At 42.7% G+C, this 26,724-nt stretch overlaps 1 protein-coding gene across 6 annotated transcripts in view, besides 1 other annotated feature; it reads left to right on the top strand.

Annotated features, from left to right (window-relative positions):
- Positions 520 to 1,409: a silencer, noted in NCBI's record as "silent region_6894". NCBI's record gives its function as "represses an Ori minimal core promoter by ATAC-STARR-seq in GM12878 lymphoblastoid cells {active_cell/tissue: GM12878}" and the evidence as "EXISTENCE:reporter gene assay evidence [ECO:0000049][PMID:35858748]".
- TARS3 (threonyl-tRNA synthetase 3) overlaps positions 805 to 26,724 on the top strand; it is a 70,878-nt gene continuing 44,958 nt past the window's right edge. For 3 of the 6 annotated variants that reach the window (NM_152334.3, XM_047432140.1, XM_017021912.3), the window contains exons 1-10: positions 805 to 1,187; positions 2,114 to 2,185; positions 3,956 to 4,152; positions 10,315 to 10,438; positions 13,277 to 13,398; positions 16,368 to 16,485; positions 19,531 to 19,595; positions 21,341 to 21,419; positions 22,893 to 23,039; positions 24,094 to 24,192. In NM_152334.3, the coding sequence (NP_689547.2) occupies positions 891 to 1,187; positions 2,114 to 2,185; positions 3,956 to 4,152; positions 10,315 to 10,438; positions 13,277 to 13,398; positions 16,368 to 16,485; positions 19,531 to 19,595; positions 21,341 to 21,419; positions 22,893 to 23,039; positions 24,094 to 24,192 (1,320 nt within the window). In that variant the 5' untranslated portion in view covers positions 805 to 890. Of the gene's footprint in view, positions 1,188 to 2,113; positions 2,186 to 3,955; positions 4,153 to 10,314; positions 10,439 to 13,276; positions 13,399 to 16,367; positions 16,486 to 19,530; positions 19,596 to 21,340; positions 21,420 to 22,892; positions 23,040 to 24,093; positions 24,193 to 25,842; positions 25,948 to 26,724 lie in introns of those variants that run through there. The other 3 variants (XR_007064422.1, XR_931749.4, XM_047432142.1) reach the window with 2 other exon arrangements.

Raw genomic sequence — 26,724 nt, 5'->3', positions numbered from 1 at the left:
CTTAGTCAAGTAACACAGTCTCACTGTGCTTCAATTTCTCCAGCTATAAGCGGATATAACAGTATCTCCTGTTATGAAGATTAAAGGAGTTACTACTGTTACAGAGTTTAGAACAGTGTTTGTCACATCCTAAGCCCTAAGAATAGTGATAAAAATCAATTTCTGTTCCTGCTCCAGGAAGTTTCACGCTCATGGTTAAGAGGGATACAAAGATATATGTGGCATTTGCCCTAGACTCAAGGAGCCAGTAATTTCGTGCTGGTCGGATTTAGATTTCACAGCGATTTTCTATATGCCCTGGCCCAGAGGCCTCAGTACTTGGGCAAGTTTGGCACGAAAGGCCAGAAAGTCCATTTATAATGAATGGCCACTTTTTAGAACCTGTTTGCAAGGCAAAAGAATGGTGACTGCCAGAATTCAAGAGGAAGAAAGGGTGAAGCCTTTTTGGAGAACGCAGACGATGGCCTTTTTGCAAGGTTTTGGAAGATTTTCGTTTCAACGGACTAAAAACTACTGCCAATAGCCTCTAGACAGGCCTCGAAAGGCAGGGGAGGCCCTTCAGACCCCATTTCCCCACTGCCCGTGACCCTAAGGTGGGCCTGGCCTCAGGCCCCGCCCCGCCCCGCCCCTGCAGGGTATCTGGCCTCAGGCCCCGCCCCGCCCCGCCCCGCCCCTGCAGGGTATCTGGCCTAGGCCCCGCCCCTCCCCGCCCAGCGCCCCGCCCCTGCAACGTGTAGGCCTCGGCTCCAACGAGGCCCCATGGCTCCGTCCCCGCCCCATCGCCCCGCCCCTCCCGGGAGCCCTGTCTTCTGCCGTGCGCTGAGTGTCCGCGTCGCCCTCGCCGCAGTCGCGGGCACCCCGCTCGGCGTCGGTGCCTGAGGGAGGCCGCGATGGCGGCCGAGGCCCTGGCGGCGGAGGCCGTGGCGTCGCGCCTGGAGCGGCAGGAGGAGGACATCCGCTGGCTGTGGTCGGAGGTCGAGCGCCTGAGGGACGAGCAGCTGAACGCGCCCTACAGCTGCCAGGCGGAGGGGCCGTGCCTCACGCGGGAGGTGGCGCAGCTCCGGGCCGAGAACTGCGACCTGCGCCACCGCCTGTGCAGCCTGCGGCTGTGCCTCGCCGAGGAGCGGAGCCGCCAGGCCACGCTGGAGAGCGCGGAGCTAGAGGCGGCGCAGGAGGCCGGCGCACAGGTAACCGGGCGGTGGGGACACTGGAGAGGACGCGGGCGGGGCGGGCCGAGACGGTGCGCACCGAAAGGTTTTCAACTGCGGGGGCAGGTGCGGGGGCGCCCCGGGGGAGTGCCCTCCCAGTGCCCTGCGGCTGGCCCGCCCTGCCCTGCTCGGTGGTCCCGTGTGGCCTGGGGAGCCGCCGGATTTCCAGCAGTCGCCAGACTTAACCAAATGCTGTTGATTTCTCAATTCGTCCATTAAAGAGCCTGCCACGCATCTTTTTCAGTAGCAGAAATAGTGTTTTCATTTGTTTGAAAAAATGCTGGAGTGTTTAAAACTCATTCTTTCCTTGGTCAGAAAGACTAACAGCTGCGTATGTAAACTCTCATTCCCTCTGGTTCTTTTTTGTTGTTGGGTTTTTTTTGGACGAGAAGTTTTCGCTTTTTGTGCTCTTGTTTTGGTGGTTCATCTTGAGAGGATAGCTGTATATTTAACATTTTTATTTAATACAGTATTTTATGATTTGTAGAAAGGATAAATTATCTTCTTTTAACATCATACTTTCTGAGTCCTGAAGCTTCTCAGGCTGAGATGTTCTGCAGTCCTTTAGGAAGGACAGCTGCGGTGAACTAGCAACATCTTCAGGAAATAGTGCATTTGATGTGGCGGGCAGCAACCACACATTTTCCAGCCACATTATTTGTTTAAAGTTCAGGACAAAAGGTTTTCAAGAGCACAATATATTAAATGTGCTTAGCAACAGTGTGACAGGAAGGACTGAACCCTGGAGAATGACTTGCCCACTGAGAGCTGTAGCTGGTGGTCAGGAGAGCCCAGCTATGAGCCTCTAAACACGGGGCACTTGCAGCCTGCTGGCATGACTCTCTTCTTAAAATGTGTTGCTTTTTCTTGCCATTGATGTGAGTCATTTATAATTTATCTTTCAGCCTCCTCCTAGTCAAAGCCAAGACAAGGACATGAAAAAGAAGAAAATGAAGGAAAGCGAGGCTGACAGCGAGGTAAGTTGTTGCTGTGGAAACAATATAAAATACTACCTGTAATTTTAAATATGTGTATATAGTTAATTACCTAGGATTTCCAATAAAAATTACTGATTAAATTATTATTTGGGTCACATTAGTGTATTTAAAACTTTTCAAGCCTTAAATATGAGATGTCTTGAGAAATGAGCTGCCCATGTTTAATAAACACGTGTATTTAATCTATTTAAGTTGTGCTACTAGAGTACTAGAGTTGGTTTTTTTTGTTTGGTTGGTTTTTTTTTGTTTTTTGAAGGCGGAGGTTTGCTCTTGTTGCCCAGGCTAGAGTGCAATGGCATGATCTCGGTTACTGCAGCCTCCACCTCCCAGGTTCAAGCGATTCTCCTGCCTCAGCCTCCTGAGTAGCTGGGACTACAGGTGCATGCCACCAAGCCCGGCTAATTTTTTTTTTTTTTTTTTTTTTTTTTTAGTAGAGATGGGGTTTCACCGTGTTAGCCAGGAGGATCTCGATCTCCTGACCTCATGATCCGCCCACCTTGGCTTCCCAAAGTGCTGGGATTACAGGCGTGAGCCACCGCCCCCGGTCTTTTTTTTTTTTTTGTATTCGAGAAACTAGCTACTTTGCTTTTGTATATAAAGCATTAAAACAATCAGTAAGTATTTATCTAGCATCAACATTTGGTAGGAGTGAAGAAGGAATACCTAGGCCCAAAGAAGTTAGTCTGGTTGAGGAATTCAGGCAGACTCAGGACAAACAACTAGAGAACAGAGTACGATGGTATACAAGTAAGTGCTGTAATGTGTGACTCTGTACACGTTCTGTAAACAGTAGAAAAGGGAGGTGTCATGGGGGCTGGGCGTGGGGCTGTCTCAAAGGAAAAAAAAAAAAAAAAGGGAGATGCCAGCGGGTAAAATAGGTAGAGGAGGCAGGCTTTGAGGTGGACCTTTAGAGCTAAGGAGAAGTTAGATAGGCAGAGAGGAGCCTTTTGGAGGTGGGAAGTACACATGCTCTTAGTCTTACAGTTGGGTTATGTCCCAATAAAACCAATGTGAGTTAAAAATGTATTTAATACACGTAAGCTAGTGATCATCGTAGTTTAGCCTAGCCTACATTAAAAGTGCTCAGAACACTTAGATTAGCTTACAGTTGGGCAAAATCCTCTAACATAAAGCCTATTTTATTATGAAGTGTTGAATATCTCATGTAATTTATTGAATACTGTACTGAGTGAAAAACACAATGGTTGTATGGATACTCAAAGTACAGTTTCTACTGAATGCATATGACTTTCACATCACTAAAGTTGAAAAATTGCGGCTGGATACGGTGACTCACGCCTGTAATCCCAGCATTTTGGGAGGCCAAGGCAGGTAAATCATTTGAGGTCAGGAGTTCGAGACCAGCCTGGCCAACATGGCGAAACCCCATCTCTACTACAAATACAAAAATTAGTCTGGCAGGGTGGTGCGTGCCTGTAATCCCAGCTACTCGGGTGGCCGAGGCAGGAAAATCGCTTGAACCTAGGAGACAGAGGCTGCAGTGAGCTGATTTCGTGCCCCTGCACTCCAGCCTGGGCGACAAAGCAAGACTCCATCTCAAAACAACAGCAACAACAACAACAAACCAAAAAACAACAACAACAACAAAATCGTAATTCAAACCATGGTAAGCTTGGGACCATCTGTAGAACTGAGAAGGCAGTAAGGGGGTGAGCCTGATTCAGAGCTGAGCAGCTGGAAAACAGTAGGCTGTATATATTAATCTCATTATGTTCTAATAATTTCCAGGTGAAGCATCAACCAATTTTCATAAAAGAAAGATTGAAGCTTTTTGAAATACTGAAGAAAGACCATCAGCTCTTACTTGCCATTTATGGAAAAAAGGGGGATACAAGCAACATCATCACAGTAAGAGTGGCTGATGGGCAAACAGTGCAAGGGGAAGTCTGGAAAACAACGCCTTACCAAGTGGCTGCTGAAATTAGGTAAACCGCAGTGTGGAAAAGATATTCAATCTTAAGTAATTATACTGAAGCCTGGTGAAAATGTTTTCTTAGGGACCGCTAATATATTACTCCATTCTCACGATACTAAAAGGACATGTCTGAGACTGGGTTATTTATAAAGGAAGAAGATTTAATTGACTCACAGTTCCGCAGGGCTGGGGAGGCTTCAGGAAACTTACAGTCGTGGCAGAAGGGGAAGCAAGCATGTCCTTCTTCACATGGCAGCGGCAAGGAGAAGTGCAGAGCAAAGTGGGGGGAAAACCCCTTATAAAACCATCAGATCTCATGAGAATGCACTCACTATCAAAGAACAGCATGGAGGTAACAGCCCCTGTGATTCAGTTACCTCCCACTGGGTCCCTTCCACAAAACGTGGGGATTATGGGAACTAGAGTTCAAGATGAGGTTTGGATGGGCACACAGCCAAACCATATCAGCTAATTTTTTTTTTATTCAGTTGAATAAATTAAATGTATTTAATTTTTTTCCTCTGGCTTCTCCAAGGGCCATGTAAATAAGTAGTTGAATATCAGAACACAATCATTTCCTGTTCTAATAAAAATATATAGGAGAGAAAAAAATCTGTAATTCTTGATAGGCCATTTTACACTGACTTTATTCGTCAATCAAGTAATTTCCATGAGTTTTTACAGGTCTTTTAAGTATAGATTGAAGATAAATGTTTTAGAGCTATTATCAGTCTTGGAAAAGTGCTTTGACTTTTCTAGAAATTAGATACATTAGTGAACTTATATTGTTTTGACTCATGTTAATTCTTAGCATTAAATACAATTGTATAGAAGCTATTGTATAAATACAATTATATAGCTTCTATACAATTGTATTAATGCCATGTAAATAAATGTTCATCATTTAAAAAGCAAACTGTTTCAACAACTGAAATTCTCAGATTTTCTTTGAAAACTATGGCTAAGATTGTATTTCTGATTCATCCTATTATATTGTTAAATGCTCTCCCAGCCTGTTTTCATGTTTTCCAGGAGGAATGATGTGCTAGGAGAAAACAGGTTTTGAGGCAAGAATAAGTTTGTTTTCTCATGGAGAGTCAGGTTGCATGTTAAATGTGTTGGGTCAGTATTTCTCAAAGTGTAGTCCCCAGACCAGCAGCATGGGCATCACCTGGAAACTTGTTAGAAAAGCAAATTTGGGGATCCCACCTCAAACCCCCTGAATTGATCAGCCATCAGTGTTTTTATGAGCTCTCCAGGGGCTTCTAATGCAAGCTAACCGTCTAGAAGTGACCAGTCAAGCCTAGTGGACATCTCTGGTCCATGCAGTTATTTATGGACCCAGCTTCCTCCCATCTTGTTGATCTGCTGTCTCCTAGGTAGGGTTTCTTTGTGTCTAGCGGTGGAAGCTGGGTCCTTGCATGGGCCTGCCTGCAGTCAGGAGGAAGAGAAGCTGCAGAGCAATGATGCTTTGAGGCCAAGACCCCATAGTGGCTGGCTTCAGTTTCCACTTACATCCTCTTAGCTCACATTTAGTCACATGGCTATGCCTAGCTGTAAGAGAGAATTGGAATATAGCTCCCTTGGCCGCCCAGCCACATGTCCAGCTAAAGCATTCATACCATGGAAGAGAGGAATGGTTTATGGAACAACAGAGAGTCTGCCACAGTCTGCCCCTCTGACATCCAGATATCTGTGGGTACTCTTCTTTCAACATCTGACACACTCACTCCCCAAGTGAGACAACTCTTATGTTCCATAGCTCAAAGCCTGGGATTTCTGAGTGATGTACAGAACACCCCCCATCAGGCTGACCACTTGTATTCTAGCAACAAATAAACTGATAGACAAGTCTGCTCACACCACACGTGCATACAGTACACAGAAGACAATCACAAAGTGTGTGCTTGGAAAAAAGAAGGAGGAGAAATATAGCAGGGAGTGGTATAGAGAAGTCATCAGATTCTGCTTGAAGCCACCTTGAGGCCCCACAGCCTGGCAGCAGTTAGTGCTTGTGTCAGCCCACCTGTTCATCCTTTGTTCTCTGGAAGCAGCTGTCTTATCCCATGATCCTCCATGGGCCCTGATTTTGCACTTTGGGAAGTTCGGAGTTGTCCATTACCCTCACTTGTCACATCTGAAGTGCACGAGTTTGTCCTCTTGGGATCTGTGCAGTTTCCACAGCTCAGTTCTGTGGTGCACATTTGGGGCCTGAGGGTTCCCTTAAGGATCACATAGTCACAGATATTTGTGAGCTGAGCTTATGATTTGTTTGGCAATACAATTACCATGATCAGTTAGCCATAGTAGGCTCTGGTCTGTTTGCAGCTAATCCGTTCCACATGAAAGTAATCTCACTTAAAGAATCTTCTAGATAGAGACTTCTCACCCTGTTGTTGCATGGCTTTTTTATTCGGCTCACTCCTGTCTCCTTGTTTAATGGACTGAGATCATATGAAGCAGAGGCTTGTGGGAGGGAGGCACTCTTGCTCTCTAATCCTTGCAGTTCCACTGGCCTCTATTGTCTGGATTTATGTGTGGCCTTTGAGAAGGGCTATCAATGCCTGTCCCTCCTGCGGTTTGGGAAAGAAGATTGTCTTTCCCATCTTGCATAGCTCCACGTTTCTGAACTTTTAGTCAGTTGAATTACAGGACACGGGCAGAGGGAGCCTCCCTATCCCTTCCACCTCTGCTGGCAAACTAGATTGTTTTCATCTGAGATAACTCATTCTTGTAGCTTCTTGCTGAAAGCAACAAGAGTTACCCAGGGTATACCAACACTGTCCCCCCACCTCCACCCCGCCCCTTTTCTCGATCTTGGCTCACCACAACCTCCGCCCTCCGGTTTCAAGCGATTCTCCTGCCTCAGCCTCCCGAGTAGTTGAGATTACAGGCATGCGCCACCACACCCAGCTAATTTTGTATTTTTAGTAAGGATGGCGTTTCTCCATGTTAGTCAGGCTGGTCTCGAACTTCCAACCTCAGGTGGTCTGCCCACAGCAGCCTCCCAAAATGTTGGGATTACAGATGTAAGCCACCACGCCCAGCCCTACTCTCCCCTTTTATACCTGCTTTCTTGTGTGCTACAAGCACTGTGACACATGGTTTGCCTGCAAGTTTTATCAAATATTTTGATATACTATCACAAAGGTTATTGGCTCTCCATATGTTAGAATCTGTTTCCTTGTTACTCACTGCCAGTCTGTTAAGCCAGTGCCACTTGTTTTGGATTTTTACTTCCAGGTCCTTATTTCTGTATTACTTAAGATATATACTAAGCTGCTACAACAAAGACATCACAAAAAACTCAAGTCGCTTGAATATGGTCAAAGTCTGTTTTTCATATAGCAGTCTAGACGTGGGTGGCCAGGTTGACTGGGTGACATGTCTCCATACGGTCTTTTGGGGACCCAGATTTCTCCCATCTTGTTGCTGATTTGTCTGGTACAATGTTGCCGTTGTCTACATGGTCCAGAAAGAATAGCACATGGGTTCCCATCTACAGAAGGTGGAGAGAGGTTGGAGAAGTGCCCTCCACTGTTTTAATGATGAGACACAGAAGTGTTACACATGACTTCTCCTTCTATCCATTGGCTCCAAACCTGGCCACATGGCCACATGTAGCTGCAAGGAAGGCTGGAAAACTCCTTCTGGAGAAGAAGGGCAGAATCGGTTTGCGAAACACTAGCCATCTATGACAGCCAGTAAAAATGAAAAGAAAGTTCTACTTGATTAATAACATCTAACATTTATTAAGTTCTTGTTATCATATGTACACATTATGTAATCCTGAGTATAGATGAATGAGGAAGGTCCTATAATCCCTATTTTGTAGATAAGAAAACTGAGGCCTAAAGAAGCTGAGTAAATTGTCCAGTATTTAAACTCAGGTTGGCCTCTTACCTGTGTGCCCCCAACCTCAATGCAGTACTGCTGCTCAAGTTAATCACAGAAATGTAAATTAAAAGATTACATTGTAGGCTGGGCACGGTGGCTCACATCTGTAATGCCAGCACTTTGGGAGGTGAAGGTGGGCAGATCACTTGGGGTCAGGAGTTTGAGACCAGCCTGGCCAACAGGGTGAAACCCTGTCTCTACTACAAATACAAAAAGTAGCCGGACATGGTGGCATGTGCCTGTAATCCCAGCTACTTGGGAGGTTGAGTCAGGAGAATCACTTGAACCCGGAAGGTAGAGGTTGCAGTGAGCCGACATTGCACCTTTGCACTCCAGCCTGGGTGACAGAGTGAGACCCTGTCTCAAAAAAAAAAAAAAAAAAATTACATTGTAGAGTTGATACAATTTAATAGTACCTAACATTATGAGAACTCAGAGACAAGATACTCTTGTAACTCTGCTAGTAGGAAAATTTTGCAATATATTCTGACAGAAATCACTGAAAATGCATTTCCCTTGACCTAGCAGTTGTACTTCCAGAATTTTTCCTGAGAAAATAATTGAGTAAGATATATGTTCAAGAATGTTCATTGCAGCATTGTTTTTTGTTGCTACTCGTCCCCCAAAGTACCCATAAAAAATAATTAAAATGCCTAGCAAATATTGGTTCCTCTGTGACTATTAAATATCACGTTTTGGAAATCTGTCTCCTGTTAGGGAAGATGCTGTGATTTATTGTGAAGTTTAAGAAGTAGGTTATAAAATCACATAATTATGATACTATTAAATATTTTTTATTCCTATATATTAATATGGAAAGATATAAACAAAACATCAATGGTAATTTCTTGGTGGTAGAATTATAGGTGATTTTGTGTGTGTGTTTCTGTGCTTTCCAGGTTTCCTTTCTTAACTTGTAATTTTGTCAACAATTTTCAAACAATAAATGTTATTTAAAAGATACCCAAAAAAACAGAAAGAAAGAGATCAACACCTCACTAGAAGACCATCCTGGCCAATATGGTGAAACCCCATCTCTACTAAAAATACAAAAGTTAGCTGAGTGTGGTGGCCTGCGCCTGTATTCCCAGCTACTCGGGAGGCCGAGGCAGGAGAATCGCTTGAACCCAGAAGGCAGGGGTTGCGGTGAGCCAAGATTGCACCACTGCACTCCAGCCTGGCAACAAAGTGAGACTGTCTCAAAAAAAAAAAGAAAATAGGCAAAGGAAGCGGATAGTTCATAAAAGTAAAAATAGCTTGTAAGCATGAACCAAAACTAATAATTAAATCAAAACAACAATTTTCAATGTCACATTGATAAAGATTTTAAAAATCGGGGTACGTGGAAGTGATGCGTTCAATTGACATCAGAAATCTGTCAACGGTACATCCCCTTTGATCTAGTAATTCCAATTCTGTGGATGTATTCCCAGAAAACAGTCACAGAAGTCGCAAGATGCCTGTGTACAGATGTCTGTGTGATATACTCTATGATAGCAAGACTTAGGCGACCTCAGTGTGCAGCAGTGGAGGCTTCATTAATAAATACAATACTTCCAGACTGCTTTGGAAGGCAATCTGAGGCATGACAGAAAATGCAAGCTATACAATTATGTCGGCAGCTGCTTTTAAAGACAGCACATATGTGTGCGTGGGGTGGATGGAGGTAGAAAAACCACTGGATAGAAATGTACCAAAATGTTATAAGTAGTGATTTATGATATTTATGTGTGATTTTTATTTTATCTTGTGGGCTTTCTCAGTTTTCCAAGTTTTTTTTAAACAGTGAATGTGGCTGGGCGCGGTGGCTCACGCCTGTAATCCCAGCACTTTGGGAGGCCGAGGCGGGCGGATCACGAGGTCAGGAGATCGAGACCATCCCGGCTAAAACGGTGAAACCCCGTCTCTACTAAAAATACAAAAAATTAGCCGCGCGTAGTGGCGGGCGCCTGTAGTCCCAGCTACTTGGGAGGCTGAGGCAGGAGAATGGCGTGAACCCGGGAGGCGGAGCTTGCAGTGAGCCGAGATCCCGCCACTGCACTCCAGCCTGGGCGACAGAGCGAGACTCCGTCTCAAAAAAAAAAAAAAACAGTGAATGTATATTACTTTTCTACATAAAATAAATATTGCAAAACAAGAAATATCTGTCCTATTAGTTTATGTTTGTACTTTTTATACACTTCAAAAAAAAAAAACCCTAGAAATTCTTTTAATATTTTAAGGAATCATTGTAACAGTGATAAAGTTAACTCCCAAGTGGCTTTTGTCTTCTTAGTCAGGAACTGGCTGAAAGCACGGTAATAGCCAAAGTCAATGGTGAACTGTGGGACCTGGACCGCCCATTGGAAGGGGACTCTTCTCTAGAGCTGCTTACATTTGATAATGAGGAAGCTCAAGCTGTGAGTATTTAAAAACCAGACAGCCAAACTTTGGGTAGTTATGTTGTAAACTACATTATATAAGAGGCCACATATTGAAGTCACGAATGTTGAGTTTTTTGGGGGTTTCTAAGATTTAAAATTTGATTATTGATGTTTAATAAATATTTGTGGCATGAATGTATACAAATACATGTCAGTTTTTAAAGTAGCCCATATTTATAATTTCTTTTTTTTTTTTTTTTTTTTTTTTTTGAGATGGAGTCTTACTCTGTCACCCAGACTGGAGTGCAGTGGCGCAATCACGGCTCACTGCAGCCTCAACCTCCCCTGGCTCAGGTGATCCTCCCACCTCAGCCTCCCAGCTACCTGGGACTACAGGTGCACACCACCACACTCAGATAATTTTTCATATTTTTTGTAGAGACAGGGTTTTGCTATGTTGCCCAGGCTGTTCTCAAACTCCTGGGCTCGAGCAGTATGCCTCCCTCAGCCTCCCATAGTGCTAGGATTACAGGTGTGAGCCACTGTGCCCAGCCTTATCATTTCTTACAATAATCATTTCCTTAAGTTAGAATGCTTTGGTTATTAAATCAATGTGTGTTTGAAATGAATTGTTAGTAGGCCATTAAAAATGGGTCTACTTTATAATTTAATATGTATAGGAGAATTGGAAGAAATTACAAGACTCAGATATCCTTTAAATACTTAATATAATTTTCTATAAAATAAATACCACATTTTTCACATATGCATGTGATATATGATTTCTGATATACGTTGTCGCCTGAACGTTGCAGTCGCCCTTCAAGCTGTCCATTATCTTCATGAAACCTAAGTTATGATTAGCTTAGGTTACAATAATTGCAAGGCTTATGCTAAATTTCTTTAAACTATAAGAACCATATTATAATTTCTGTTTAAAATATGCAAAGTATAACCATTAAATATGTAAACAGTACACTATTAATAAAACCATATTTAAAAGTGATTTTCAGAAAGTTCAGTACTGTAGACTGAATTCACAACTCTCCAGCCATAGCTAGCCATGCCTCAGTTTTTATGCACTACTGTCTACGTGATATCTGCATGTAGATATTGTACAAGAATCTTCAGTACATTCACCATGAAATTTTCGATTTTAACCCCAAAACTTATTTCTTCCTGTTTGCCTAAGTCAGTGCATTACTCCACCACATACCCAATAGCTCATTCCAGAACCTTGGAGGTTTTGTGTGATTCCTCCCCGTCCCTCAACTCCATCTCCAGTGAGGGGTAAGCCCAGTAGATTTTACTTCCTAAAAATATCTAGAATCTGTCCATTGCCACTGCCTGAGAATCCGCACTCACCTTGTTATAGAACCACCCAAGAAACTGCCTACTTGCTGTTTTGTCCCCTGAAATTCATTCCCATCGAGCTATCAAATGATGTGTGTAAATGTAAATTTAATCATTTTGCTTAAAACCCTTTAATGCATCCCATTGCATTTGGAGTAAAATGCAAGCTCCTCCCCAAGGCCTGCATGGTCTCTGGCCCTTCCTTACCTCTCTAACCTTTCTCAAGCTATGCTTTGTCACATCCCCTACGTGTTAGTCACACAGGCCTTCCCGAGTCCCCATGAATGCAGGACACTCACCATTTTTCTATATTACAGAGCCCTGTTCATCTCCTTTTAAACACCCTTCTCATCTTAGAATTATGCACGTCCAGGTTTGTTTATTGCCTGTGTCTTCGCCAATAGGCTGTACCTGTGTGGGGGCTGTGACTATGTCTGTTTCTTTCACTATTGTATACCCAGCACAGTGTTTGGCTCAACAAATGTGTAGGTGTGGACAGTGCACCACATGGGAGATTTGGGCTGATGCTAGCAGTCAGCCTGCCATCCTAGCAGCATCCAAAGGAGCAGTGCTGTGCCCTAAGGACTGACCCTCTGGGTCTGTCTGCAAATCATATCCCAGCCTATTGCTGTGGGCTGGGATTGCACATAGTGCTCCATCATCTGACTCCTTCTGCCCTGATTCATTTTATCAAACAGCTTTTTAATTGTAACTTGCTTTCTATTTAATAAAAAGAAAGAAAGTGCTGAAAGATGAGTTGATTATCTTACTCCTTTGGTACCTATATTTATTTGGTGACTTTGGTTAATTTCAGTTTATCCATAAACTAAAATGAATTCCTTGGGAACTCAAAACAGTATCAACTTTTTGAACTTGGAGGACTGACAACCGGGCTCTGGACTGTGGCTAATGAGCCCATATATACACTTCTCAGGCGTCCCAGGCAGCCAGCAGACGTTCCCTGGCAACACTTTTTTCTTCCTGAGACATCTTTCAAACTTCCACAGTCACATGCTATTCAACACACGAAGACTGCTCTGGAGATGCAGGATCTCGTTAACTGTAGTGGTGTCAGGAACACTTCAGTGCTCTGTGTCCAGCTCAGAGAGGGTGCCCCTGGAGAAAAAGAAGACAGCTAGCATCTGGCACTCCTCGGCCTTCCTCCTACTCTGGGCTTCAATCAGGTTTGCACACAGCTGCTCTGCTGGCTGTTCTGAGAGGTGTTCATCTCTCGTGGCTGACATGCACAGAGGAAATGGGGTTGTGGCCGAGCTCTAGCTGCCACTCAGCAGAGCAGCTTCACACTGGCACTGAGCAAGTGACTCCGGTGGAATGTCAGGGAGGGCTCAGAAAGCATTCTCTTCTAAGTGGGCATCGAAGATTTTCCTTTCAAGTTGATGTTGCTGCCCTTGGTCTTGCCATGTATCTCCTTAAAATTTTCTACTGGTTTACATCATTTTACTACTAATTTTCCATGACATACTTTTGGTAGCTAATGGCCTCTTTGTCCATGCCATGCAGGTGTACTGGCACTCCAGTGCTCACATTCTTGGGGAGGCCATGGAGCTTTACTATGGAGGCCACCTGTGCTACGGTCCGCCCATTGAAAATGGATTTTATTATGACATGTTCATTGAAGACAGGTAACACACTGAATACTGGCTTGTGAATGCATGTGTTTCAATTGTATTGTTCTGTAATGGTTACATACTAGCCTAGTAACTGTATACTGCTGGCCCTTACATAATGTGGGGTTAGGGGCACCGACGCCCATGCAGTTGAAAATCCGAGTTCAACTTGTGATTCCTCCTAAACTTAACTAATAGCCTGTTGTTAGCTAGACGCCTTAATGAAAACATAAACAGTTGAGTATCACATAGTTTGTATCTTAGGTGTATCATATACTGTATTCTTGAAATAAGCTAGAGAAAAGAGATGTTAAGAAAATCATAAGGAAGAGAAAATGTATTTACCATTCATTTAGTGGAAGTGGATCATTATAAAGCTCTTCATCTTCACGTTGAGTAGGCTGATGAGGAAGTGGAAGGGTTGGTCTTGCTGTCTCCGGGTGGCAGAGGCAGAAGAAAATCCACATATAGGTGGACCCATGCAGTTCTAACCTTTGTTGTTCAAGGGTCAACTGTATTGCATAAGATGATTATAGATTGGTTGACCAATTTTGAAAATTATTTTTAGTTTAGAAATGGTCTAAGGCATTTAACTGAAAATTATTTTTAGTCAAATCTAGTTTAGATTCAAGAGATACTTCTAAGATTGTTTTCTTTTTTGTCCCCAGAAGAATATGATATGCTATTTATCTAATCTTGGACTTGCTAGAGCATGGTATTAATTAAGACCAGAATTGAAAGCTTAATTCCTAGAGAGAGGCTAGTTTAATTCGCTCCGTGATAATCAAGGACCTCATTAACCTCAGCCAAACATCTCACATAGTTGAGTGCCGGACAGGGATGTGTCACAGATGCTTCACATTCCATAGGCCTATGCTTGAATCGTTAGCAAACAGCCAGCCCCGTCCACCTCCTGCCCTGAATTCCTCATAGCTCCTAGGGTACCTCCAACTGCCACAACCAAAACCTCTGATCCTTCTACTTCCTCCCTCCTCTTCACCACCACGCCACCATCCAGTTGTTTAGTCCAGTTCTGCCAATTTTATCTCCTAAATAGTTCTCCCACCCCCCTCTCCTTCTCTTGTTTCTGCCTTAAGTTAGCCCCATGGCATCTCTGGCCTGGATGACTATGGTGCATTTTGTCTTTACCTTCTCCTGCACGCTGCTTAATGACCTCCCCAACCGAGCACCCAATGCTGTGTAGCTACTACTTACAGACTTGTCCAATCTGAACCACTATTACTCACAAGCATGAAACTGTGTTTACCTACAACAATTCTTATCTCAAAGGTGTGGGTTTTTTCCCAAATCAATGGCCAGTGCTCCAACTCTCTGGACACCAATGAGGTGTCTAATGATTGAACTCAATTCTGACACTATCTACCCTGAGTTAATGCAGATTCCCCAGGTCAAGGGCTCAGTCCCACAAGACTGGCCCCAATTCAGATGCCAGCTGGAAGTCTGGGCCTTCCATACTTTTGACCTACAGGCTACAAATCGGGAGTTCCCATGACCCCATCCTTGGGTTCAATAATTTGCTAGACTGGCTCACAGAACTCAAGAAGGCACTTTACTTACCTTACCAGTGTATTATAATGGATGTTACAAAGGATAGAGATGAACAGCCTGATGAAAGATGCTTATGGTGAGGTATGTGGGAGGGACCACAGAGATGCCATGTGTCTCTGGGCGCCATGCCCCAAGCACCTGGATGTGTTCAACAACCTGGAAGCTCTGTGAATCTTGTTGTTTAGGGATTTTAATGGAGGTTTCATTATAGAGGCACAATTGATTAAATCATTGACCTTTGGTGATAACCCAATCTCTAGCCCCTCTCCTTTCCCCTAAGGAGGCAGGTGGGGGTGCTGAAAGTCCCAACCCTTTAATCATGCCTTGGTCTTTGTGGTGACCAGTTCCTGCTCTGAAGCTACCTAGGGGACCTAGCCACCAGTCATCTCATCAGCACACAAAAGACACTCGTATCACTCCAGAGATTTCAGGATTTTAAAAACCCTGTGCCAGAAATCTGGATGAAGACCAAATTTGTGTTTCTTACTGTATCACAGTATCACATCCCGTTCATCTCTTGTTAACATGGCTCCAGTATTCGTTCAACAAGATGTTTTTGCTGCCTGCTGTGTGCTCTGTGCTGGGTGCTGGTGATTCAGCAGTGAAGGAACCAGTCTGTCCTCATGGAGCTAACAGTGTTTGGGGGAAGACAGCAAATGCACAAGCAGCCATCTGCTGCCGGGTGGTGATGACTATAGGAACATCAGCCAGGTGTAGGAGGTGTGTGCCATGACAGGCAGGTGGGCAGGAAGGAGCAGGTGGCATTGAAGCCGACCGGAGTGGAGGGAGGGAGCAAGCCCTGAGGATGGGGATACTTATGACATCTGCAGGGAGAAGGTTCCAGGCCTCTGTGGGACTGTCCTGGTGTGGGGATATGTGTGGCTTGTTTGAGGAGTGGCAAGGAAGCTAGTGTGGCAGGAGGGAGTGAGCACTGACCAGGGGGTGACTGAAAGGAAGTTAGTCCATGCATAGCGGAGGCTGAGTGCTGCTGGGAGCACCGCGACTCTGCAGTCCATACAGATGTCTCCCAGCCTTGGTTCCATAGCCAGTGAGGGCAGGGACGTGATGAGCACTGCATCTGGCTCTTGAGCAAAACTAAAGCATGTGAAGGGTAAGGAAGACCACACAAAAGAACAGGCCTCAGAGGAGCTCACAGTCCACCTGGGTGTCTCCTAGCAGGGCTTCCTTCTCCCCTTGCAGCAGAGGAGAAATGAGGCAGGTCTTGGCAACTGTTGATGCCCAGTCTCCCTCACTGAGACACAAGAGTAGTGACTGTATGAACGTTTGACTTTCTGAAGTCCTGGAACAATAAGACAGCAGATTCAAATTTATGGCTGCTGAGGCTCCAGGACAAAGGAAAGAGGGAATGCATAATGTCTGGAAGATGGATGTCGGTTCTCTGCTCTTCTTTTTAGAGCAGTGTCCAGCACAGAATTGTCAGCCCTGGAGAATATATGTAAAGCCATCATAAAAGAAAAGCAACCTTTTGAAAGACTAGAAGTCAGCAAGGAAATCCTCCTGGAAATGTTTAAGGTAACTTGGGGAAACTCCTAAACCTCTTACTAGGAATATTAAAAATCAATATAGACTAGCTTCCCCACCTTCCCCCAAATAATTACCTGTTGCTCACCAAATTATTCCAATCCTGTTAAGCTACTGTGAGGTTGTTACCAGTTACTTGCTGTGACATTTCCCTCCCCATCTATTTCCTGAACATTTGAGGGGAGACATAGGTAGGTAAAGGGCCAGGTGAATAATTTTCACATGTGTGTTTATAAATCTGATTAATTCTGAGTATTGTGAATATCTGTCACCTAAATTCAACAATATTTATAATCCCATATAAAATGCTGCCTTTTTCTCTTTTCTGTGGGAGTTTTCTGTTAACTTTTGTTTCAGATTTTAACCTAGAGTAACCTGTGTAAAACAGTAACTTTCTCTTTATATTTTTTTGACCAACGTACTTAAATATATTCCTGATTTTATGTTTTAAAACATACATATTGGAGAAAACATACATTTTGTTTTTTATTTTTTGGGTTTTTTTTTTTTTTTTTTTTTTTTTTTTCAGACAGAGTCTCTCTTTGCCTCCCAGGCTAGAGTGCAGTGGCACTATCTTGGCTCACTACTATCTTGGCTCACTGCAACCTCCGCCTCCTGGATTCAAGCAATTCTCGTGTCTCAGTCCCTCAGCTGGGACTACAGGCATGTGCCACCGTGCCTGACTAATTTTTCTATCCTTTTAGTAGAGACAAAGTTTTGCCATGTTGGCCAGGCTGGTCTTGAATTCCTGACCTCAAGTGATCTACCCCCCTCAGCCTCCTAAAGTGCTGGGATTACAGGCGTGAGCCACCACGCCCAACCAAAAACATGTACTTTGAAAACACAGTATTATCAGTTTTGTGGGCTTGAATAAAAAAATAGAGTTGGTTTTGGTAAAAAATTGCAGTATTCTTTTTTGTGCAGTAAAATATATAACATATAAAATTTACCATTTAATCCTAAGTATACAGTTCTGTGGCATTAAGTACATTGACAATGTTGTCAAACCATCACCAATCTCCAAAGCTTTTTATCTTGCCAGTCAGAAACTCTATACCCATTAAACATTAGCTCCCCATTCCCGCCCTGCCCCCAGCCCCTGGCCACCACCATTCTACTCTCCGTCTCTGAATTTGGTTCCTCCAGGCACTTCATATCAGTGGAATCATGACAATATTTATCCTTTTGTGACTGGCTTGTTTCACTCAGCAAAAAGTCCTCAAGATTCATCCATATTTTAATATTTTAATGTGTGTCAGAATGTCCTTCCTTTATAAGGTTGGATAATATTCCATTGTACGGATAGACCACATTTTGTTGATCCATTCATCCACCTGTAAACACTTGGGTTGCTTCTGCCTTTTGGCTACTATTGTGAACAGCGCTGCTGTGAACATGGGTGTGTAAAGTTCTGTTTGAGTCTCTGCTTTACTTCTTTTGGGAATATACTTAGAAGGGGAATTTCTGGATCCTATGGCAATTCTGTTTTTAAGTTTTCGAGAACTCGCCATACCGTTTGGTGCAGTGGCTACACCATTTTACAGTCCCACCAGTGATGCACAGGGGGTTCAGTTTTTCCACATCCTTGCCAACACTTGTTTTGTTTTTTTTTTAATCATGGACATCCTAATGGTTGTGAAGTGGTATCTCATTGGGGTTTTGTTTTGACTTGCATTTCTCTGATGACGTACTAATGGTGAGCATCTTAATGTGCTTATTGGCCATTTGTGTATTTTCTTGAAGAAATGTCTTTGGAGAAATGTCTGTTGAGCTCTTTTGCCCATTTTTTAATTAGGTTTTTTTGTATTTGAGTTATAAGAGTTCTTGATATATTCTGGATATCCATTTCTTAACAGATATGTGATTTGCAAATATTTAATTCTGTGGGTTGCCTTTTTTGCAGCTACTTTTAAGAACTAAACACAATTAATCTTTGTTAAGGAAAATGATTTGTTGTGAATATATAGATACGAAACAGTTAAATCATGCAGATACGGGTTTTTCTCCCAACAACTAGCTTCTTTAAGTAGTTATTTAATATAAAGTGCCTTGTATACCCCGATAGTAGTGATGGAAGCAGAAAAGAAAGGAAAAGGAAAAAAACCCTTAGTTTTATAAATATATCATCATTACGATAAACTTTGCTTTTGTTTTTATACAAATTAATAATATAGCTGTGTCCTTGTCAGAATTTTATTGATTAATGTTAAAATTAGATCTTCTAGAACAGTACTGTCCAATAGAAACATAATGGAATCCACTAGTCTGAGCTACATGTGTAACCTATAATTTTATGGCAGCTACATTTTAAAAGTAAAAGTTGCAATTAATTTTAACAAATTTTTAACCCAATATATAAAAAGTATAATTTCAATGGTAGCCAGTATAAAGAATGATTAACGAATGATTTTCTTCTTCTTTTTGCAACATTATACTTCCAAAGTCCAGTGTGTTTTATACTCACTGCACATCTTCTTTCAAATTAGTGGCATTTGAGGCCAGGTGTGGTGGCTCACACCTGTAATCCCAGTACTTTGGGAGGCCAAGGCAGGCGGATCACTAGAGGTCAGGAGTTTGAGACCAGCCTGGCCAACATAGTGAAACCCTGTCTCTACTAAAAATACAAAAATTAGCACATAGTAAAAATACAAAAATACAATACAGGCATGGTGGTACATGCCTGTAATTCCAGCTACACGGGAGGCTGAGGCAGAATCGCTTGAACCAGGGAGACGGACGTTGCAGTGAGCCAAGATGGTGGCACTGCACCCTAGCCTGGGTGAGGGAGTGAGACTCTGTCTCAAAAACAACAACAACAACCACAAATTAATGGCATTTGAAATGCCCAGTAGCCACGTGGCTTGTGGCCTCCATGCTGCACGGTGTCGCTCAAGGCTGTGAGCTCTTTGTATCCCTCGTGTCTCAGCACCTAGAACATCAGTAGATGACCTTTCAATGTTTCTTGAAGAAAAGTAGAGTTGTTTTCTTCATTTCAACATTGTGTGTAATAATGTGTAAATATGTTTTTCTTCGTAGTACAATAAATTTAAATGCCGCATTCTGAATGAGAAAGTTAACACTGCAACTACCACCGTGTACAGGTTTGTGTCCACACATGGTAAACGCTGCTCAGTGGTAAACTTGAAGGTGTTAGCAGTAGAGGCCGAGTTTGTTTTCTGGTTGGAGATCGATTTTTCAAGTTGTGTAGTTGATAATCTACCGTAGTTACAATCTTCAAAATGTTTTCACTAAAGAGAAATGATTATTTTCCCCTTTTTAGTAATCAGGACAGTACTGAGACCCATATTTTGTTTCCTGGGTGTTAGCTATAACAGGATTTTTCTCCATGTGAGTGATACTGTTGGGAAAGGAGTTTCTATTCTGTCCTTCCACGTTCTTATTAATGTGGCAGTGGGGGCCATTACAAGCCATCTCCTCGGCAGTGATTCTCTGCCTCATACTTACTGTCCAGAGTGCAAGTGTAGAAGAGTCTGCCCCATTGTCCAGAGTCCAAGTGTACAGTCTTCATGCATTAGCAGGATACTCATGATGAGACCAAAAGAAAATACTGGGAAACAAAGGCAGGATCAAATGTAAGAGGAGACAAGTGAAGTTAATACCAGAATCACTTAGCTCTGTTCATTTAACCTCAGGTTCCTGAGCACCTTTTTCTTTATTCGTGTGTATACGCCTTATATGTCATTGCTGTTCCCCTTTCCGTGTGTTCCGGCCATCTGGGTGCTGCTAGGACTATCACAGTACCGCCTTAGAAGACCTGGTATTTATTTAATTATAACCACAGATATTCTCCCTCATGGTACTTACTTTCGACAGTCAAGGACTTATGGTTCTCTGGTTTAATTGTACTGTAAGTAAAATCATATCCCCTTTGTGCAAAGCTATGCACGGTGCATTTCTTAAAGCTTAAAAATAAATGAAAATGTAGAAAACAGGCCAAGTTTTAAATTTCTGGCTTCTAATGCTTGAGCTCTTGGGTTTGAGAACCTTACTTACGTCAACATTGACACTTTTTGTAGTTTTTCAATTTGAATGGCTTGTATTTAATTTTTGAAAAAAAAATAAAGCTTTTCTTTTATGGCTTTCTTTTTTTTTTTTTTTTTAATTTTTTGAGATGGAGTCTTGCACTGTTGCCCGGGCTGGAGTGCGATGGCGCGACCTCGGTTCACCGCAACCTCTGCCTCCCAGGTTCAAGTGATTCTCCTGCCTCAGCCTCCCAAGTAGCTGGGATTACAGGCGCCCACCACCACGCCCAGCTAATTTTTTATATTTTTTATTAGAGACAGGGTTTCACTATGTTGGCGAGGCTGGTCTCGAATGCCTGACCTCGTGATCCACCCGCCTCGGCCTCCCAAAGTGCTGGGATTACAGGTGTGAGCCACCACACCCGGCCCTGTGACTTTCTATGTAAAGATTAGAGTATTGAAGCCTTTCATGCTAATTTGGCATTCCTTCCCTTCATCTGAGTGTTGTTTACAAGCTCTCTCCCTAGAGAACAATACACAAAGACTGACCATTGAGAGAGATGACATTTTCGTGTTTGCCACTCTGTAAGCCAGTCCCTTTTTGTATTCATTGTAATTTTTAAGTTTTTAATCAGAGAATTGCCTAGTTTCTTTCAGAAGATGTTCTGTGGTTTTTGAATCTAGAGGGCAGAGTGGACTCTGAGGCTAGATGAATCACCTCTCTCCTTCACCCTAAATTAAAAATGGCATTGCTACATATAAATAAGTGAAGCTCTACCTAAAACATAGGATATTATGGCTTATAATGAATAGTCCAGAACACTGTAACTGTGCCTGAGCATGTCCTAAATATTTCATTATAGGTGCGGTCCATTAATTGACCTTTGCAAAGGTCCACATGTAAGACACACTGGAAAAATTAAAACCATCAAAATTTTTAAGGTAAGGATTGATTTTTTTTTAATACAGTAAACTTAAGGTGCACTAGCTATTAAAGGATTTTAATCATATCTTATTCAATCATATCTTTTGTAGTCTGAACATCATGATATTTTAAAATATTTCATTCTTATTTGATGAAAACTAATAAAATCATTTAGAATTTTGATAATTAGAACACTATAGGTGGCTTTTGTTTATCATTTTACCTTATTGTAAGTGTTATAACATTTCTTTTTCATACGATATTTTATTTTATTTTTTATTTTTCTGAGACAGAGTCTTGCTCTGTTGTCCAGGCTGGAGTGCAGTGGTGTGATCTTGGCTCACTGCAATCTCCGCCTCCTGGGTTCAAGCGATTCTCCTGCCCCAGCCTCCTGAGGAGCTGTGATTACAGGCCTGCACCACCCCACCCGGCTAATTTTTCTATTTTTAGTCGAGATGGGGTTTTACCACATTGGTCAGGCTGGTCTCGAACTCCTAACCTCAGGTGATCCGCCTGCCTCAGCCTCCCGAAGTGCTGGGATTATAGGCATGAGCCACTGCGCCTGGCCTTTTTCATACACTATTTTAAAATATTGTTCTATATACTATGGTTTTCTTGAATAGCCCTGATGTAAGCAAGAATATTTGTCTGCATGTGAAAGTAATGTATTGCGGCATAAAGAAAACAGCAGGAGGGGATATGATGTTGTAATGGAGAAAACATCGCTCTGGGATTAGGAGGCATGGGACTGACTTGGCAGTCCCAGCCTTTCTTGGCTTTGATTTTCTTACAGGTAAAATGGGGCTGGCTAATGGCACTGTTCTTAATCATTGACTGTAGGTCAGCAAGACCGACCTTTACTTCCCCATACCTACTGTCTGTTCTGCCCCATCCTTGGTGATTATGATTGCTGCTTAGCCTTCCCTCCTTTCTGTGTGCTCTCACTGTCATTCCTAGAATCCATAGCAGACTCTACATAATTTGCTGGTTAATGGTATAATTTAGGCTGGGAAGGTTTAGTTAGAATCCATTTTAAGATTGTTCCCAGCACTACAAATAGTCTTCTTTAAGCTTTGTTGATTTTGTTTGTTTGTTTGTTTGATTTTGAGACAAGGTCTTGCATTGTCACCCAGGTTGGAGTGCAGTGGCACAAACACTGCTCACTGCAGCCTCGACCTCCTGGGCTCAAACAGTCCTCCTGCCCCAGTCTCCCAAGTAGCTGGGATTACAGGCATGTGCCATCGTGCCTGGCTAGTTTTTGTATTTTCTGTACAGATGGGGTTTTGCCACGTTGTCCAGGCGAGTCTCAAACTCCTGAGCTCAAATGATCTAACCACCTTGGCCTCCCAAAGTGCTGGGATTATAGGCATGAGCCACCATGCAGGGCTGCTTTGTTGATATGATAGTGGAAAATTGCATTTGTATTTAAGAGCAGTTTTACTTACAACTGAATGTATGATATATTTACCAAAATCCTCTTTGATATTTAGAATTCCTCAACATATTGGGAGGGCAATCCGGAAATGGAAACATTGCAGAGGATCTATGGAATATCCTTTCCTGATAACAAGATGATGAGAGACTGGGAAAAGTTCCAAGAGGAAGCAAAGAACCGAGATCACAGGAAGATCGGGAAGGTATGCCCCACATCTTAATCACTGGAGATGTAATCATAAGCCAACATAGGAATGTTTCTGTCTCACAAAACTAAGTTGCTTTAAAAATAAGATTTCTTCTTCTTCTCTCCTATTTTGCTGGCACTCACAGTCCGCTGCTCAGTGCTTTCATTTTAATACCCCAGATGTCTTCTAACCTCTTTCCTTCCTGTATCTTTTATTAATTTTTGAAAATTGTACCCTTCTCTTATTTTTGTCATGATAAAAAATAAAGTTGTTTTTGGTGAAACCCCACCTCTACTAGAAATACAAAAAAATTAGCCAGGCGTGGCAGCACGCGCTTGTAGTCCCAGCTACTCTGGAAGCTGAGGCAGGAGAATCACTTGGGCCCGGCAGGCGGAGGTTGCAGTGAGCTGAGATCGCTCCACTGCACTCCAGCCTGGGCGACAGAGTGAGACTCAGTCTCAAAAAAAAAAAGAGTTGTTTTTTACATTCTGTGCACTTTATAGCATCCTTTGTATCTGGGAGACAGAGCAGCGTGTAGAAGGAAAAGCTCAGACTGGAAAGCAGCTCGGCCTGAGCTTTATGCCCAGTCCTTGTACTCACTAGTTGTGTTAGATGATGGGCAAGCTCCGTGTCCTTGTCTTCCTTGCTGGGTAGCCTTGCAGGGTGGCTGTGAAGACAGAAACTGGGTGACGGTGCCTGGTACAGGATAGGCTCTCAGTAGGCAGCAGCCATGATGATCATCATCACCTAAAGCCCACCTCCTGCAATGAACTTTTTTGGTCTTTCTACCGTGTTGTCTCCCCATGAGTGCCGTACTCCAAGTGTGCCAAGTAAGAAAATTCGCAGAGAATAGCAGAAGGTGAAGTAAAAGCTAAGTTCAAAGCTAATTAGGCATAAATATGATTGGAAATTTTACATATGCTGTTGCATGCATTTAGGTATAAGTGTTGAATGGCCTTGGAATGTCTATTACTAGAGAAGATGGAAATAACTGAGTATTATATGTGTGTGCAGTAAATATTAAGCAATAGCAGATGACATTTGAAATGCAATTTTTGTTTCAATCTAGGAACAAGAACTTTTCTTTTTCCACGATTTGAGTCCTGGAAGCTGTTTTTTCCTTCCCAGAGGAGCCTTCATTTATAATACGCTTACAGATTTCATACGAGTAAGTTAACTTTAAAATGTTTTATTCTTATTCAATTCCAGTTTACATTTTTACTATTTTCTCTCATAATAAAGTGGTCAAGCGTTTCCATTAACTTTACTTTGGTAACATTAATAAGAATTTTGAGGTTAAAAGTGAGATACTGGCCAGACACGGTGGCTCACACCTATAATCCCAGCACTTTGGGAGGCCAAGGTGGGCAGATCACCTGAGGTCAGGAGTTCGAGACCAGCCTGGCCAACATGGTGAAACCCTGTCTCTACTAAAAATACAAAAATTAGCCGAGTGTGGTGGTGCACACCTGTAATCCCAGCTACTTGGGAGGCTGGCAGGAGAATTGCTTGAACCCGGGAGGCAGAGTTTGCAGTGAGCCAGGATTGTGCCACTGCGCTCCAGCCTGGTGACAGAGCAAGACTCCATCTCAAAGAAAAAAAAAAAAAAAGTGAGGTACTAGATTGTACCTTCTAATAATAACATGGAGATAATTTCTGTTTCCCCTGAATACATTCCTGGATTTCATAAAATTCACTTTTTGTCCATATAAGTTTCTAAACCATGTAGAATATAAAGGTAAGCATTAGACTAAGTGTGGCACTCCCTGTGAAAAAGAAGAAAGGAGAAAGTGTCGTCTCTGGTACAGAGTGTTAAGCCATGAAGCATTGCTTCTCCAAATGTGCTCCATGGGCCACTGATGCTTCCCTTTGCCTATAGCATGACTCCCAGGTGATTTGGCAGTTCCAGAGGAAAGAGGAAAAAACCAACAGTGCAAAATACCTACTTGTATTACAAGTTCATAGGTGGGAAAGTCTTTAGTATTTACATGATAAGGACTGTGTAGATAGTGTTCACAGGTGATCCGGGTGGACTACTGGGATTACATTTCCATGCTTGCACTGTTTTGTCTTTCCTATAATCATTACCTAAATTTTTCATTTACTTAGTTTTTTTATGTGCCTACCACTAATTCATGCTCCAATTTCTCTCAAAAACTACAAATCTCCTTGCAACATATTCTGCAATGATTCAGGTAATTGCTCAGTAATTTTTTTTTTCAAATTTGGTCCTACTCCAGAATTAACTTGCTACTAAGATTCTTGCAAACTGATGGCTTAGGACTTCTTTTCATCATCATCTTGGCCACTCCCCTCATGTCTCTTCCTATGCTGAGTCTCTTTTCCTGGTCCCTGTATATCTCTTCGTTGCTTATCTTTAATTCTCATTTGGGGATCACTTTCTTCAGTAACTTTCTGAGAAGACAATCCATGGCATGTGGCCTGCACTGGTTATTCTCTGTTTGCTTCTCCAGTCTTGTTCTCCGTCTTTTTCTTCTTGTGCTGTGCCCCTGGAGGCTGACATGTCTGTATTCTATCACCTGGGGTACACATCTTCCAGTAGGGACTGGCCAATGCGAGGCAATGGTAGGAGATCAGAGGGCAGTGGAAGAGACTTGAAGAATCACTGAAGATTATCAGAGATTTACATTTAGGCAGGTGGTGATGACCATCACAGCTGCTGATTTGGATGTGCTGTCTTCTCTGGAAAATCAGCATGGCCCCTGGCACCTTGTACTCTCAAGTTGGGAGTACAATAGATGGAGAATGAACAGAAAGCCTTTACAGTGGCATTAAGGGGATCTCTTATTTTTTATAGATGCAAGACAGATGTGGCTGATGAACAGGAGCAGGGCCTGATTGTGAGGGTCACCAAACTGTAAAGGCACTTAAATGCACAAACCCAGTGATCTCTTATTCTAAGGTAAGGGCACTGGTTGGGAAGGGTCCCTGAGGCTTGGAATGGGAATATTTGACAGACACAGGCGACACTGAGAACTTTGCATTTCTGGATACCTTTGTCTGAAGGAATTGGCCTTACCATGAAAAAAACCTTTTGGAGAACTCAGCTGTTTTTTCTGTTGGTTTTTTGTTATTATGGTTGTGTCACTTCCCATATCAAGTAATATTTTGTTAGATGCCAAGTATTACATGTAATTTAGGTGTAGAGGCTCTAGATGATATCTCCCACTGGAGCATTCACCCTCTGCCACTATTAAGGACTGATCATTGAATTCGATCAGAGATTGCACTGGGTTAGGGCCGGCTTCCACTTTAATAAGATTCAACTTTTGATTCCTGTTTCTAGGTCATGACCCCCTTGGGTTTCCACTTGACAGGCTGGTGGGTTTATGTCTTTTCAGCCCCAAAGGACTGTAGGGAAGTCCATTCTACTCTTCCAAAGTGTTCTATTCTTAACAAATAATTCCAAGGCTCATCTAATTACTACATTGGCTCAAAAATCCAGGACATCTTCTGAATCAGGCCTAGCTGCAGATGAGGCTCCTCGGGTGCAGTTTGTTGGGAACAGATTATCAAGTACATTTCCTCTACAGTTTAAGACCTGTGAACTAAAAACTCAAGTTATCTATCAGCCACCTCATCCTCTCATCTCCCTCACATTGTAAAATGGTGCTTGAGGAATAATGCAATAGATAGTCTTACTCAAAAAGGAGTGGGGTAGAGTAGGAGGCACATGGTA

Source organism: Homo sapiens, chromosome 15 (assembly GCF_000001405.40).
Source record: "Homo sapiens chromosome 15, GRCh38.p14 Primary Assembly".
Lineage (NCBI taxonomy): Eukaryota > Metazoa > Chordata > Mammalia > Primates > Hominidae > Homo > Homo sapiens.
This window is presented reverse-complemented; position numbering and strand designations above follow the sequence as displayed.